Here is a 17247-nt window from a genome sequence, read left to right on the forward strand (position 1 = left end):
GACACCTTTCAAGGAACTAGGGAAGACTTATATAGTAGGATTAACACAAGTACATAGCATTTCCGCCATACAGATACGATAGACATAAAACCACGGTGGCAAACAGCAGCCCGTGAACCAAACCAGCTCAGCACCTGATTTTGTGAATCACATTTGATTGGAACACAGTCATGACCATTTATCTAAGTACAGGTTGAATATCCCTTATCTGAAATGTTTGAGACCAGAAGTGTTTCAGGTTTCAGATGTTTTTGGATTTGGGAATATTTGCAGTACCAGATGAGCAGCCCTAACCCAGAAATCCAAAATCCAAAATGCCCCAATGAGCATTTCCTTTGAGTGTCATGTTGGTGCTCAAGAAGTTTTGGATTTTGGAGCATTTCAGATATTTGGATTAGGGAGCATTTAAGATTTTTCAGATTAGAGATGCTCAGTCTATATTATCAATGCTTTTGTGCTACAATGGCTGAGTCAAATAGTTTTGACTGAACCCTTATGGCTCACGCAGTCATTAAATGGCCCTTCCCAGAAACAGTTTGCTTACCTTTGGCACAGAAAATGGTAAAATATAAAATAATTAGGAAGTAATGAGTTGCGAGTATTTGTTACCTTTATTTTAAGTATAATTTCATTTTAAGTTTATATAATTTGTAAGTTTATATACTTTGTTAGCTTAATAATTCAATAATAGATCCATCCAAGAACTGACTCGCAAAATTCCTGAAAATTTAATAATGGGCTCTTGTGAGCCATGGATGCCAGCTCCAGTTTACTTCTGCCATCATCTCAAACACACCTACAGGCACATATAGACTCCTGTGCGCTTCATTTTCTCCACAGCACTGATCCCCTGGCTGCATGGCTTATCGTGGGCTCCTCAGGACCTCCCCTAGTCCCTTTAATTGTCTTTCCTTACCACCTTGATCAGTGCCTGGCACAAACCTCCCGCCTCAGCCTCCTCAGTAGTTGGGACTGCAGGTGCACACCACCATGCCCAGCTGGCTTTTTACATTTTTGTAGAGAGGGGGCTCTCGCTATGTTGTCCAGGCTGTTTCAGCCTTTTATTCGTGGAAGCCCCACTGTCTATTGTCAGTGTGCTCAGAATTAGATTACTGTCCCCATTTCTTTTGAGAAAGCACAAGACGTCTCAGTCTCTAGTTCCCCAAATAATGCTTCCTCTCAGAAGTGGAGACATCGTAGGACTCCCCTGCTAGGGCTTTGATGAACTTTGAATGAAACCATGCACGGAAAGTGCTTATCACAGTGCCTGGCACTCCGTAGCCCCTGAGTAAACAGCAGCCACCAGTGGCAGCAGCAGCAGCATTAGTACTAATATCGTAAACATGAACTTGAGAGACAGGGTGCAAGTCTAATCAGCAGTTCTCTTTCTGCCTCTCATCTCCCTCCACGATCCTATTTTAAGCCACACTCTTTATCCTTTAGATGGTTTTATGAGATTGAGATTTTTCTCAGGCATCTTGTCCCTGAGTGCAGCAGCGCCATCTTGTGGTCATTACTGGTTATGGCGCTGTCCTAGATCTAAGCTCCCAAACTCCGAGCCGCAGCCAGAACCCAGGCTTGGGAGGCAGCAGGGATTTTGAAAGCCAATGTGGCAGTCGGGCCAACACACCAGATTACACACTACACCCTAAGAGGGTTTAAGTTTCCTCTGCGTCATTTCGGGACAGCTGCTTAGTGTTGACCATTTCTGTTTGTGGCTGTCCTCTCTCATAATGGGCTCTGTCTTGCCCTTTCTCTGCATCTGCTGCTCCCTCTGTCTTGAGCTTTCAGGCACCGTCTACAAACGGGGTTTAAAATGAGCTAGCGCCATCTACTGGGCGAATGCCGTAAGGTCGGTTGTGAGGTCCCGGAATCTGCAAAGGAATGAATGAATTACAAATCTGTGGCTTTATGGGGGGAATGTCGGTACGTAATAGGATTCTGATGTCACCTCCCTTTATTTGCGACCCTTTCTCAGTGTAAGCCTCATATCTACTGTGTTAACTTTAGTACAGGTTACTTTGTCAGGATCCCAATGTGAAAATCAACCACACTGTCTTCAGTGCTTCCCAGAGAGGGGTCTTTGGACCAACCTGCGTCGTAGTCATCCAGGGACATTTAAGAATGCAGGCTCCGGCTGGGCGTGGTGGCTCTCACCTGTAATTCCAGCGCTTTGAGAGGCTGAGGCGGGCAGGGCTTGAGGCCAGGACTTTAAGACCAGCCTGGGCAACACAGCAAGACCTTGTCTCTACAAAAATACAATAATAACAATAAAAATTAGACAGGTGTAATGATGCACTTCTGTAGTCCTAGCTACTTGGGAGGCTGAGGCTTGAGGATCACTTGAGCCCAGGAGTTGGAGGCTGTAGTGAGCTATGATCACACCACTGCACTTCACCCTGGGCGACAGAGCAAGACTCTGTCTCTAAAAAAGAGAATTTGGTCTTGGAGGCCCTGTGCAAAATCTACAGCATCAAGCTCTCAGGGTAGGGCCCTGGAATGTGCATTTTGAACACTTCCCCCTTTTCCCACCAAGAGAATCGGGCACACGCTGAAGTGTGAGAACCACTGCCATTATGGAGAAGAGGCTTCCCGCCCCCTCACCTGCCACTCTAGAAATCCAGAGAAGAGATTCCACTTGGATTAAGACTTGCATAAGTGGGGAGTTGAGTCCAGTCTCTTTCCCCCACTGCAATACCCTGTTGCGGTGACATGTAATAATAATAAAAAGACTTGCATGAACTCCTTTCTGTGCAAATGAGAGCAAGCATCTCTGACAAAACCACAGTGCCCCTGTCGCTCATTTTGTGTGTGGTTTCAGTGATAACAGACCCAAAGTCCTGGGACCAGCATCTGGCACACCATGGGGGCTCAAATGGGTCACTACTGCTGCTGTTACCTGTGTGAGGCCGGCTGGAGGCCTCCTCAGCATTCCTCACCCCCTCCCATCCACCTCTGCTTGGGAGGTGGGGGAAAATGGTTTATACTTTCATATCAAGGCTCGGCCTGCCACCTCGGGCCCTTCTCCCAGAGCAGGGCTCACTTCAAGCAAAGCACACAGCCATGTTGGAAAGATTCCAGTACTGAGGTCACCCCCTTCCTGGGTGGCACCTCTCTGAGCCTCAGTTTTCCCATTCCTAATACAGAGAATTGTATTAGAGTCTGTGCTGTCCCTTCCAGCTCTGACGTTCAGGGTGGCTCAGTGCTTTGGAAGCCCCTTCCCCATGTGGCACTTCCATGGTGTCTGGGTCTGGTGTGTGCAGAGACCCCCCCCCTCAGAATGCTGATTTCTCTTGCTTTGGTTCTTTCTCTGCCTGCTACCCCTAACCCATTTTGCACAAATTGTGAGCCATGTAGGTGCCCGATACACGAGTGCTTGGTTTTCAAAAGCCTTCATATTGTGCATACCTCATCCCCAGCAATTCTGTTGCTGGGAAATTTTTCTAAGGCAATCATGATCGCAGATGTGCCCAAGATTAGCCATCAGACTCCGAGCAGCACTGTTTATAATGCTGGCCAAACCTGAAAAAGTTAAATGTGCAGGACTGTAATAAATTATGGTACAGCTAGACTATACCATAACCATTAACCATGTGCAGTCATTAATGATTCTTCTGGAATGTAATTTTTTTAAGGACATGAGCAAAAATTCACACTATATTAGGTGAAAAAAGTGGATTATTAAAAACTTATGTATGATAATAGATCTAATTTTGTGTATACAAAAATTTGTGGCTGGGCATGATGGTTCATGCCTGTAATCCCAGCACTTTGGGAGGCTGAGGTGGGCGGATCACCTGGGGTCAGGAGTTTGAGACCAGCCTGACCAATATGGTGAAACCCCATCTCTACTAAAAATAAAAAAATTAGCCGGGCTGTGGTGGCATGCCGGTAATCCCAGCTACTCAGGAGGCTGAGGCAGGAGAATTGCTTGAATGCAGAAGGCAGATGTTGCAGTGAGCCGAGATCGCGCCACTGGACTCCAGCCTGGGTGGTGACAGAGGGAGACCCTGTCTCAAAAAAAAAAAAAAAAAAAAAAATATTGTGCATGTACTGAAAAATTTGCTTGCAGGGAATACATTGATTCCTGAGATGACAGTGACTGCGGATGACTTTCATGTTTGTGTTTTTCTCTTGTCGGTATTATCTAAATTAAAATCCGTGGTTGACTGAATGGCAGGATGTGCAGGGAGGGTTGTCAGGAAGGGGCCATTTATCAGAAGGAGAGAACAGACACCAGAAAGGGCATGGGCTGTCAATCAAATACCGTTGAGGTGTTTGGGAGTGTGGAGTGGTCACCTCTGAGGCCATTTGCATGATAAAGACCCATGTGAACTTCCACCAGTTTTGAAAAGAGACCTGGCCATCCTGGGAAGAAAAAGACTGTCTGGAAGGGCAGTGGCTGGGCCCCTGGAGATCAGAGGCTTTTATGACTCCCTGGAGGGAATGCATTGCAGCTGGCATGGAGGGTGAGGCTGCCAAGAGCTCACCACATCAAAGGGGTGGGCATGGCAGTGGGGGGCTCTGGGGTGCACCAATGGTTTCGATCAAAACAGGAGCCATGCCCAGACCAGGAGGAGCGTTCTGTGTGGTGAGGGTCCTGTAGAGGATAGCATACGGAATAAACGTCAGGATCACACTGGGGAGACTGACGCAGCTGAGCCAGGAGGCAAGGAAGAAAGAGGAAGACTGTATTCTGTCCAGTTGGTATAAAAATCAAACTCAGCCAGCATCGCCCTCTGCTTTATGTTCAACTCTCCAGGTAGCCACCTAGAAAACCTTTTCACACCCATTGTCCCCACCCTCTGAGTAGACAGAATGGAGAGTTTTATTTCACAGCTGGAGAAACTAGGGCTAAAGGAGCTCAATGATCTCACTGGTGTTACTTCCTAACCAGACCTGTGCTGTGGGACTGTCCCGCAGGACGAAAGCAGCAGCTAGGCGTGACCATGGGGAGCCCCCTTGCCCCATAGGTAAATGCCGTCACCCTTTCCCAGCCTCAGATGATAGGGGTTCTGGGACAGAGAGACCCTGAACATAGAGTGCTGTGGGGAGTGGCGCATGCCTGGAACATGCTGTGTGGACAGAGGAGGTGGGAGAGATGAGGTGGTTTGGGCTAAGTAGAAGAGCAACTGTGGGAGGGACTGCATTCTGGAAACCCCAGAGCAGGGGATGAGGAAGAAATTGATCAAGCAATCCTCCCAGCTCGACCTCCCAAAGTCCTAGGATTACAAGCTTGAGCCACTGTGCCTGGCCTACCTGGATTGTGGTGTGTGTATCTGCTCTCTGGGCCTCAGTTTCCCCATTTGGTGAACATTGGGCCCTGGGTTAGGTGCTTCCTATATATGCTCCCTTATTCTTGTGAGAACTTCATCCCTAATTATCTGATGAGAAAGCTGAGGGTCAGGCAGAGCCAGTGGGACTTGAAGTCAGGGCCACCTGCCTCTAGTAGCCTGGCATTGACTCTAAAAATGACGAGTGGGAGGAGGGCAGGTTGGTCCAAGATGATTCCCTCAGCTCCTGCCTGCTTCTGCGGTCTCTCTGGAGATGCCTGCAAGGCTCTGCTGGGCCCCAGCACTGTCCCCTCAGCTAGGGAGCAGTTGGCAGGGTTCCCACTGTTCAGTCAGGTAAGGGCCTGCTGCTCTTCAGTGTGGCCTGTGTTTGGTGCCCATCCTATAGCCCAGAGTGCCAAGAGAGCATGCCATCTACCCTGCCTGGGAGGGCGGCCTTGTGCTTAGCTTGAGTTTTATTTCCTCCAGCCCCTGGTAGCCCCTTCGCCCCTGCCAGCCTATCTGCTGTGGGTGTGGGCTCCAGCTCTGTCATATTCTGTCCGTGTCCAGGGCTATGCACAGAGCCACAGTGCTGGCGAGGAGGGGCGCTGCCAGGGGTGGCCCAGAATCTAGACCCTGAATGGCACTGGGGAAGCATGGGCTGCTCCCTTTTCCTTTCTCTCTTTGTTACTGAGATGCACCTTGTTATCGTAAAGGGCACTGGGCCCCTGTATAGGGCTCAAGGAAATTTACATTTCCACACACTCTTGCAGCCATACATTAGGTCAACCTGGGGACCTTTCCCAGCACCTCCAAGGCTCCTTCTGCTCCCCCAAGTCAAGTTACCTCCCTGCACCAGTGATTACCACTATTTTGACTTCTGTCACTGTAGATCCCTGTTGCCAGGTTTTGAACTTATGTAAAGGGAGTCATAGATCGTGCACACTTCAGGTAGTGTCTGATGTCATGCTGTGTGCATCCTTCAGACTGTCTCTGTTGTGTATGTCAGTGATTCTACTTCATAGCTATGTGATGCTCTCTTACGTAAATATACAATCGTTTATTTATGGTTCTCATACTGATGGAAAGGGGCATTGCTGACAGTTTGGGGCTACTACACATGACCCTACTGTGATCCTTCTTGAATTGGTGGATTTTAGCTTTAGGAGAGACAGCTGCAGACTTTTCCAAAGTTTACACTCCTTCCTTCTTTCATTATTATTTTTTAACCAACTCCACTGAGGTGTAATTTACATACAGTAACATACACATATTTTAAGTAAGCAGTTAGATGAGTTTTGACACATTCATGAATTTATTTTTTATGAGACCAGGATCTCACTATGTTGCCCAAGCTAGTCTCGAACTCCTGGGCTCAAGCGATCCTCCTGCCTCAGCCTCCCAAGTATCTGGGACTACAGGCATGCACCACCATGCCCAGCCAATTTTAAAAATTTTTCGTAGAGAAGGTGATCTTGTTATGTTGCCCAGGCTGGTCTTGAATTCCTGACCTCAAGTGATCCTCCTGCCTGGGCATCCGGAAGCTCTATTACAGGCATGAGCCACCACTCTGGGATCTGACAAACTTTCTGTAGTGTTGAAGTTCAGTGACTTGGAGTAGTCACCTCCAGCTCAAGGTGCATGTGCCTGTGTGTTTTCTCCTTTTTTTGATAAAACCCAGGCTCAGCACAGGGTCGAGAAAAAGACTGAAAGTCAGCCCAGAAAGCAGTGTAGAAAGTAGAAAGCTAGTCTGGACTACCATTAGCATCAAGGACCTCAGTCACTGGAGCCATTGAGATGGGTCCACCCCTTCTCCCTCTCTTTCTCTCTCTCTCTTTTTCTTTCTTTAATTCATTAGCAAGAGGGTCTGTCTCACTATGTTGCCCAGGCTGGAAAACCTGGGCTCAAGCAACCCTCCCATCTCAGCCTCCCAGTCCCAGCTCAATCTTTCTTTTTAAAGTTGGAGAATTTTCTAAAGTTCTCCAACTTTAAAGGCTGCTGCCTAGGGAGGCAGGGCTGCACCCACGGGCAGAGTTAGAGGCAGAGCTGGAACAGAACCCCAGCATGGGAAGTCCGTGTTCACGGGGGGCCATTTCACCCTGGGACATTGTAGGGCAGCTCGAGGCTCTGACTAGGGAGGCCCAGCGCCTGGGGCTGGCGCTTGGTCCGAGCTCTGCAGGCTTTCCTGGGTGGAGAGGAGCCTCTTCCTGCCATGCACACCAGGCCTTCCTTAAGTGACTCAAACACCAATCTTCCTTGGGCTTCCTGAACTGTGAGGATTCCACAGTCTGGCAGGGCTGGTGGCCTCAGCCGTACACTCTGCAGCCAAGAGGGCTCTAGCTCCTGATTCCACCCTGTCCCTCAGCGGCTCCCCAGTGCTCTTCCAGGCCTTAGGCCTGCACCATCCCCACCTCTCCCTCCTCACCAACCTGCCACCTCCTGCCTCAGGTGGACACACTCAGGAGGAAGTCAAGCCTGTCCCTATACAAAAGCCATATTCCCAGGCACTTGCCTGAGTAGAGACGAAGTCTCAGCTCCTTCTACGTGAGCCCGAGGTGCCCACGGTCCCCACACCCCCTCCAGGAGTCCTTGCATTTGCGCAATGCTTTATACTCATCTGTCAGCTCGGCAGTGGGTCCCCCAGAGGGTGAAAACCACATTGTCCCTGTCTCATCAGCAACCAGAACAGGGGGCACCAACTGTGGCCTCCTCCCATATTTGTCGGGAGACTGAATGATTCTCAGGAAGCTGCGCGGCCACCGGCCATTTCACATGGGCATTTCCAAGCTGGGTGCTTTTTGCACCATGCTATTTTGGGCGGGAAGACTTTTCCAGTCCCTTTCTCCTTGGCATGCCACAGAAGAATTTCCTTCACCCACATCTGGATCATCTAGAATTACCCAGTTCAGCCTGTTGCTTTCAATGGCAAACGTCCAGTGCATGGTGTTGGCTCATTTTCATCCCCACTGTCTAGGAGCCCTTGAGCCTTGAGCTTTGGTTCACTATGGGCAGTCTCTTCCCTCCAGGCCTTGGCTAGAGCCAGGCAGGGACAGTGCCCACTCAGGGGCCGATCCACCTCGCTGGGGGCCACCAGTTCGAGCTGGGTGCTCTGTGAAACCAGTCATACCCAAGCTACTGGACTCTGGTCACTCCATGATCCTTGGCAAGATGTCTGTCTATGAACCGCAGTCCCTCTATCTGTAAAATGAAGGATCCTAGACTGGGACTCTCAAGCTCACTTGCCTACAGGGGCCAGGCAGGTACCTTAGGGAAGGGAGAAGGTTGGAGTGTTGGTGGAGAGCTGATATGGTAAAGGAAAGGAAGAAGCAGGCCAGTATATTCTGATTTTTTTTTTTTTTTTTGAGACGGAGTCTCGCTCTGCTGCCCAGGCTGGAGTGCAGTGGTGCGATCTCAGCTCACTGCAACCTCCACCTCCCGGGGTCAAGCAGTTCTCTGCCTCAGCCTCCTGCGTAGCAGTGAGTGCCACCATGCCTGGCTAATTTTTTTGTATTTTTAATAGAGACAGGGTTTCGCCATCTTAGCCAGGCTTGTCTTGAACTCCCGACCTCGTGATCCACCCGCCTCGGCCTCCCAAAGTGCTGGGATTACAGGCGTAAGCCACCGCACCTGGCCTATGTTCTGATTTTTCAGACGAAGTCAGAAATTTCTAAGAGAAGCAAAAGTTCCTGATCTGTACAAATCTGGCAACTTTTCTTTTTTTTAACTCTGTATGTGCCAGACGCGTTTAAGCCAGAGCAGCTCCATCTTGAATAAGGGCTGGGTAAAATGAGGCTGAGACCTACTGGGCTGCATTCCCAGCAGGTTAAGGCATTCTAAGTCACAAGATGAGCTAAGAGGTCGGCACAAAATACAGGTCACAAAGACCTTGCAGATAAAACAGGTTGTGGTAAAGGAGCCGGCCAAAACCCACCTAAACCAAGGTGGCGACAAAAGTGACCTCTGGTTGTCCTCACTGCTCATTATGAACTAATTACAAAGTATCATCATGTTAAAGACACTCCCACCAACGCCATGACAGTTTACAAATGCCATGGCAACATCTGGAAGCTACCCATATGGCCTAAAAAGGGGAGGAACCCTCGGTTCAGTGAAATCTCTGCCTCTTTCCTGGAAAACTCATGAATAATCTACCCCTTGTTTAGCATATGACCAAGAAATAACTATAAGTATACTCAGTCAAGCAGCCCATGATGCTGCTCTGCCTTTGAAGTAGCCATTCTTTTATGCCTTTACTTTCCTAATAAACTTGCTTTCACTTTACTCTATGGATTCACCTCAAATTCTTTCTTGTGCTAGATCCAAGAACCCTTTCTTGGGGTCTGGATTGGGACCCCTGTCCTGTAACATATGGACCAGCTATTTGAGCTCTGGCCTAGACATCCTGCTCTATATACCTTCCCCCTGGGGGATTGGTGGGTGGTGGCAGGGCGGGAACCCCAGAAAGGTGCAGGGCTTGAATTCTGACTACACCTGCCTCTCCCCACACACCAGCTGTCATGTCACAGGCACCCTTTGCAGTGTGATCGCCTTCCTTTTGGGGCGCCCGAGCTAGCATATGAATTTTTGATCAGCTTGCCTTTTGAATGAGTTGACTATCATGAATAACAGGGCAAAGGGCGCCAGCATTGTGTCTTTAACTATAACTGTTCCAATTAATTATGGGTGTAATTAGCATACATCGTGAGCAGCCCTGGAAAATAATACTTCATGGGTTATAGATGCCCTGGCAGCTGTAACATGAAGTGTGATACCGGGCTGGGGTAGAGATAGTTATTAATAAATTACTCCCATTGTCAGAGACCCTTATTTATACAAATTAGCAGGGGATACATAATCAACTTTAACTGTATAATTTATAATAATTGATTTCATTTTGACTGACCACCAGTCGCTTACCAAATACCCTCGGAAGAAAAATTGCCCTATTAGGGTAAGTTTAATCCTAAACATAGCTAATGAATCCTATTACTTTAAGGTCATATTTGAAGCTTTTGTTAATTGTCAGAACCATTTTAAATTGATTAGAGTTAAATTAAATCAATGTAATGTTTAGAAAAACAATATTTCTAATGGATGAGGCCAGGCTGACCTCGAATAAACATATTTATCAACCGATTCCTGCTGACGAGAAGGGGAACAGCTGGGCCCATAAGTCACATTTGTCTATAATATGGGAAATGTCACCAGACAATTAGTTATGTCAGGTAATGAATAGGGAGCACGGGGACTCCCCTCTGGCAGCTGGTGTGGATGGGGTAGAATGTTCCAGACCTGAGCCCCTGGCTGCACCCCTCTGGATGGTCTTTGTTTCCCCAACCTAAACCGAACGCTTCTCAGCTTCCTCATTCACCTCCCTGGATGCTCACCTGGTCCACATTCCCTCCCTGCCCTGTCCCCAGTCTCTCAGGCTCTAGTGCTCTGGCCTTCCACCCGGAGCTGGGAAGCCACCTGTCTTCCCCGTCCACACCTACTCATCCTGTTACAGGAAAGGGGTCCCGATCCAGACCCAAGGGAGCATTCTTGGATATCACACAAGAAAGAATTCGGGGCAAATCCATAGAGTAAAGTGAAAGCAAGATTATTAAGAAAGTAAAGGAATAAAATAATGGCTAGTCCATAGACAGAGTAGCCCCAAGGGCTGCTGGTTGTCCATATTTATGGTTATTTCTTGATGATATGCTAAACAAGGGGTGGATTATTCATGCCTCCTCTTTCTAGACCGTATAGGCTAACTTCCTGAGGTTGCCATGGCATTTGTAAACTGTCATGGCCCTGGTGGGAGTGTAGCAGTGAGGACGATCAGAGGTTACTCTCAGTGCCATCTTGGTTTTGGTGGGTTTTGGCTGACTTCTTTACTGCAAATTGTTTTATCAGCAAGGTCTTTATGACCTGTATGTTGTGCCGACCTCGTACCTCATCCTGTGGCTTAGAATGCCTTACCATCTGGGAATGCAGCCCAGTAGGTCTCAGCCTTATTTTACCCAGCCCCTATTCAAGATGGAGTCGCTCTGGTTCACACACCTCTGACAGTCCCTCACCATCCCCTGGGTTTTGCTCAGGTATCACTGCCTCGGGGAAGCCTTCCCTGACCCCCATTCTCCAACAACCTCCCAAGGATGAGCTGTCAGGGCAACATGGGTACCCTTCTCAGCTGTCGTTTTTCCATCCGTGTGATTCCAACACCAGGCTTCAAGCCCCATGAGAGCAGCCCTGTGTCACTTCCTTAGCCCTGGGTCTCGGATTCTGAGCCCTGATGGAATGCCATGAGGACCTGCTGAATGAATGAAGGAGTGAAGGATGCAGGACTGATATTGGGCTACTCGGAGAATGTCATCTACTGCTTACAGAACATTTACCAAACACCAAGTATTTTACATACATTCAGCTAGTTTTTGAGACATTCTTGAGAGGTGGGGCCTGGTACTTCCATTTTATAAAAGAAATAACTCATCCAAGATGTCTTGGCTAAGCGTGAAGAAGATAGGATTCAAACTCAGGTCCAAGCTGGGTGCAATGGCTCATGCCTGTAATCCCAGCACTTCAAGAGGCCGAGGTGGGAGTGTTGCTTGAGTCCAAGAGTTCGAGACCAGCCTAGGGAACATACTGAGTGAGACCTTGTCTTTACAAAACAAAAGACAAAAAACAACAACAAATTAGCTGGGCATGTGGTGGCATGTACCTGTGGCCTCAGCTACTGGGGAGGCTGAGGCAGGAGGATCGCTTGAGCCCAGGAGTTGGAGGCTGCAGTAAGATGTGATTGTGCTGCTGTACCCCAGCCTGGATGAAAGAGCAAGACCCTGTCTCTAAAAATCAGTCAATCAATAAACAAACAAAAAAACTCAGGTCCAAGAAAATCCAAAGCCCTTTCTGAAGCCTTTGCCTGGTCAGCCAGGATTCCTGCAGGAAACAGCATGGGGACCTCGAGGAAAGGTTTGGATTTCCAGAGGGAGGCCGAATGGATCCTCTGGGCTAACTCCTGAGAGAACCAAATCTGGGCAGGAGAAGCAGATGTCGGGGAGAGGAAAGAGCTGGTTCATTCCAGTGGCCCCTGCTTCTTCCCTAGCCCAGAGGGGTGGTCCCTGGTTGGGGTGGTGCATAGGGTGGAATTCCTGCCAGACATCCGGACCTGCGGTAAGTCCTCGATGGGAAATGTATTCACCGTGTTACCTTGGGAGCATCACTGTGGCCTCGGTTTCCAGGGCTGTGAAATGAGTTCCCAGCCACAGCACTGCTCAGAGGAAAGGCATGGCGGGAGCAGGCTCATGATGTGCACTGGGGAAGCCCCTCCTCTCCTCTGTCCCCGTTACTTCTGTCACCCTGGATTAGCGGCAGGAGGTGGGGATCTCTGCCTTTACCTAGCTTCTGCTTGGCACCTTGGAATGGAGGTGGCCAGCAGGCTGGGATCTTTCAAGCCTGCTGAAGCCTGAAAGAGGGGCCCTCAAACGGACCAAGGTGCTTAGGATAGGAAAGGCACTCAGACTCCCCACACAGGGAATAAAGATTCAGAAAAGATTCAGAAACTCACAGGCACATGCCACCACACCCAGCTAATTTTTGTATTTTTAGTAGAGAAAAGGTTTCTCCATGTTGGCCATGCTGATCTCAAACTCCTGACCTCAGGTGATCCACCTGCCTCGGCCTCCCAAAGTGCGGGGATTATAGGCATGAGCCAGTGCGCCTGGCCTTGCATGTGCCGTCTCTACAGTTGGTTCTGTGCTTCGCTTTATGAATTGAATCATACAATTCGGAGACTGCCAATCAATAGTAGCATATAATAAGGGTGTCTTCATTTTTGTAAGCAGTTGCTTGGTGTTTTATTGCTTGGTTGTGCTGTCATTTATTTAGCCATTTAGATTGTTTCCAGGCTGTAGCTGCTGCTTCCTCTTCCTCCTCCTCCTCCTCCTCTGAAACGGCTTTTCCAGGTGCTTTTTGTAGTAAACTCACTCTGGGCTGTCCTGAAAATCTGCCCACATGCCAAGTGGTCATTGAGGGAAAGAACATTTCTTTTTAGGCAGAGTCTCACTTTATTGCCCAGGCTGGAGTGCAGGGGCATGATCTCGGCTCACTGCAACCTCCACCTCCCAGGTTCAAGCGATTGTTATGCCTCAGCCTCCCAGTAGCTGAGATTAAAAGTGCCCGCCACCATGCCTGGCTAATTTTTGTATTTTTAGTAGAGACGGGGTTTCGTCATGATGGCCAGGCTGGTCTTGAACTCCGGACCTCAAACAATCTGCCCGCCTCAGCCTCCCAAAGTTCTGGGATTACAGGCTTGAGCCACGGTGGCTGGCCAGCATTTCTTTATCAAACCCGAATCCTTCTACATCCCACACCTGCCGTTGGAGGAAACATGATGTCGCTTTGCAGAGGTTGCTGTGGTGGGCGGGAGGGATCGTGGTGGGCAGGTGAACAGCTGAGGGATAGTAGGGGCCTCAGGGAGAGGAGTCCTGTCTGTTATAAGTGGCCCCTGAGTGTGCCAGGCACTTCACAGCCCTGTACTGATCAATACAGAGCACTTTGATCAGCTTATTCCAGATACAGCAAGGGCTAGGTTCTGACATGTGGTTACCTGGGAGGGAGGGAACAGGAGCCAGGGAGGATATAACAGGGAGTGCATCAGAGAGTTGAGAAGAGTCTGGTGGGTAAGGGCTGCAAGCTCAGGCTGCCTGAGAAGTCCCACAATCTGCCATCTGCAAGCCCTTTGGGCTTGGGCTGGAACTCTAGTTCCAGTGGCTCAGAGTGTACCCTCAGGGGCCCCATTCCTGCCCCTGAGGGTACACCATTCCCTCAAGGGCTGGAATGGGGTGGTCTGTGTCTCCAAGGAAGTTCTACCCCTTCTAGGAGAAGCAATAGAGATTGCGAACCATAGCCTTTTCCCTGTTTTGTGGGTCATAGAGTGGAGGTTGCAAACTCAAGGCCTGCCTGCATGAGGCTTGCAAAAACTTGTGAAAAGTTGCCAGCCATGGTGGTTAATTTCATGTACCAACTTGAGTGGGTTAGTGGGTCCCCAGATTAAACACTGCTTCTGGGTGTGTCTGTGAGGGTGTTCCAGGCAAGATTCGCATTTGCATCCGTGAACTCGCTTAAGCAATTGTGGGTGGGGGACATCCGATCCTTTGAGGGCCTGAATAGAATTTTAAAAAGAGAAAAATCCACCCCCACTTTTTTCTGGCCTCACAGCTTGAGCTGGGACATCTTGTTCTCATCTCCTGCCCTCAGACTGGGATTGACTCCACCTGCTCTCCCAGGACAGCCACTGGTGTAGTTCCAGTCCAAGCCCAAAGGGCTTGCAGATGGCAGACTGAGGGGCTCCTCGGGCTCCCTAATAGAAGGAGCCAGTTGCTCATAATAAACCCCTCTGTCTCTGTCTGTCTCTCTGTCTCTCCCACTCTCTCTCTGTATATGGAAACACACACATGTATATTCTATTGGTTCTGTTTCTCTGGAGAACTCTAATTAAATCAGTGTTTAAGAAAATGGAAGATTTCACACAAAATCTGGATCTTCAGCCTTTCTCGAAAAAACTGGAGGAGTTGGCACATCAGGCACTGTTATCTACAAGGGCACCCAGGGGCAGCAGAGGACCCCCACGATCAGCCCTGAGCTCTGCCATTCTCCGCAGTCCCCACCTGGCTGCTTGCTAGGGCCTGGACACCAGACATAATTAAGTTTGCAATCCTTAGCATAAAGGGAAGGCCATCGGGGTCCACGTATCCTGCCTCCCGGGCTGGTTCCTTCTGAGGGGTATCAGGGAAGGAACTGGTCCAGGCCTCTCTCCTGGGCTTGTGGATGGCTGTCTTCTCCCTGCATCTCTTTACGAGGCTTTCTGTCAATGCCTCTGTCTCTCTGTCCAAATGTTCCCTTTTTATAAGGACATCAGTCATATTGGATTAGGGCCCATCCTAATATGCTCATTCTAACTTGAGTACTTCTGTAAAGACCATATGTCTGAATAAGGTCACATCTAGGGGACTGGGGAATAGGACTCTAACATGTCTTTTTTTGGAGGGGAAACAAGTTAACCTATAACAGGTGGCTTTAGGAATCAACTTCATTTGTCCAAATGAATTATAGTTATTTCGCTTTCTCCTCCATGACATCGAACTCTGCTGACACCCTAGGTCAGGGATGACTTGTATATCACCGCTCTCACAGCAGACATCATTAACTGATCATCGAACTTTTGCATTGAGCCTGGCTGTGACCTCAGAATCCTTCTAAACACAGCTCTCCTGGTACCTACTACAAATCTGTTTATCGTGTCTGACCTGTGCCTTGCTCTGTTATGTGTTGCTTCTGTCTTGCTTGGTTCAATTCTGTTTCCTCTGCTTAGGAATGCTCTTAAAGCCCAATTCAGGTGTCTGCTTTCTCCCTTTGTATAGCCTTCCCTGATTATCCAAGCAAAGAATATCTCTCCTTCCATGTGCACCAATGCACTGGTTCTGAAATTGTCCCTGTAGGAAGGGCCCTCATTGGAAGAAAGAGACTTGGGGATGGGTTTGCATAAACTTTGCCCGGGAGTCAGAAAAGCCCAATTATTTACATTAAAGTAAGGGGGATGGGCTGGTGGAAATGGGAAGGAGGACCAACACCCCCAGCCCCTTATGCTCAGTACTTAGTACTCACCCTGCTTGTCTCATTCATTGCATCCTGAAAATTATCTGTGCAGAGAATGAGAATTTATGTCAACCTGAAAATGACAGCCTGCTTTCCCTTTGAAGGAGGGCTTCGGCCTATTCCTGGAGTGGTTTGAGGGGAGGGTGGATGTTCCCCAGATATATATAAATTACCCTCTCCTTCAGAGAGTGGAGATTTAGCAGTTGTGTTTTCCTAAGACAAGGCCTTCCCTGCTCTTAAGAAATGGGAAATTCAGTTTTTGGCTTTCTAATAACTTGAGCTCTGGGTTCTAGTATCACATGGAGATTTTTTCTGATTGGCTACTTAGCGGAAGGAGAAGAGGTAAACCAGGAGCGAGGAGCTGATCCCTCCAAGCCATTCTCCAAAAGTAGAGTCTGGGTGAGGTTCAACAGCAGCTTCCCCAAAGATATGTCCACTCTGAACCTCAGAAGTGGCCTTATCTGGAATAAGGATTTCTGCAGATGCGATTAAGACTAGGGCCTCAAGGTGATCTTATACCTGGATTAGGGCCCTAATGCTGATGACAAGTATCCTGATAAGAGACAGAAAAGAAGACACACAGGGCAGGTGTGGTGGCTCACACCTGTAATCCCAGGATTTTGGGAGGCTGAGGTGGGTGGATCACCTGAGGTCAGGAATTCAAGACCAGCCTGGCCAACATGGTGAAACCCATCTCTACTAAAATTACAAAAATTAGCTGGGCATAGTGGCGGGTGCCTGTAATCCTAGCTACTTGGGAGGCTGAGGCAGGAGAATCACTTGAACCCAGGAGGTGGAGGTTGCAGTGAGCTGAGATGGCGCCATTGCACTCCAGCCTGGGCGACAAGAACGAAACTCCATCTCAAAGTAAATAAATAAATAAAAATTAAAAAGAAAAGGAAAGAAAAGGAGACACACAGGAGAGAAACAGATGTGAAAATGGAGACAAAAATGGGAGCACTGAGTCCACCAGCCAAGGGATGCCCAGGGCTGCCAGCAGGCGTCAGTAGCCAGAGAGACAGGAACTGTTAGCACTTAGGGAACCTGTCTGAGTCACGTAGCATCAAATGTCACTGGCAGCAAATCCATATGGATCTGTAGCAGCCTCATTTCTTGCCTCCTCAGAAGAAAGAATTCAACTGAGGGGCATAAGGCAGCGTGAGAGACCAAGGCAAATTTTAGAGCAAGAGTGAAAGTTTATTAAAAGGTTTTAGGGCAGGAATGAAAGGAAGTAAATTACACTTGGAAGAGGGCCAAGCGGGTGAGTTGAGAGTCAAGTGTGTTATTTGACCTTTGACTTAGGGTTTCATACTTCCGGGGTCTTGCATTCCTTCTCCCCTGA

At 48.7% G+C, this 17247-nt stretch overlaps 1 long non-coding RNA gene across 1 annotated transcript, besides 2 other annotated features; it reads left to right on the plus strand.

Moving 5' to 3' along the window:
* Positions 1-1790: 1790 nt before the first annotated feature.
* LINC02168 (long intergenic non-protein coding RNA 2168) lies at positions 1791-2748 on the plus strand. Its single transcript, NR_146573.1, has 2 exons — positions 1791-1926; positions 2537-2748. It is a non-coding gene; the product is annotated as a long intergenic non-protein coding RNA 2168 (long non-coding RNA).
* Positions 4261-5260: an enhancer, noted in NCBI's record as "H3K4me1 hESC enhancer chr16:50843053-50844052 (GRCh37/hg19 assembly coordinates)". NCBI's record gives its function as "activates a minimal SCP1, AML or CMV promoter by ChIP-STARR-seq in naive H9 embryonic stem cells {active_cell/tissue: H9 hESC(naive)}" and the evidence as "EXISTENCE:reporter gene assay evidence [ECO:0000049][PMID:30033119]".
* Positions 5087-5196: an enhancer, noted in NCBI's record as "active region_10829". NCBI's record gives its function as "activates an Ori minimal core promoter by ATAC-STARR-seq in GM12878 lymphoblastoid cells {active_cell/tissue: GM12878}" and the evidence as "EXISTENCE:reporter gene assay evidence [ECO:0000049][PMID:35858748]".

The sequence above is a fragment of the Homo sapiens genome, chromosome 16 (assembly GCF_000001405.40).
Source record: "Homo sapiens chromosome 16, GRCh38.p14 Primary Assembly".
Classification (NCBI taxonomy): Eukaryota; Metazoa; Chordata; class Mammalia; order Primates; family Hominidae; genus Homo; species Homo sapiens.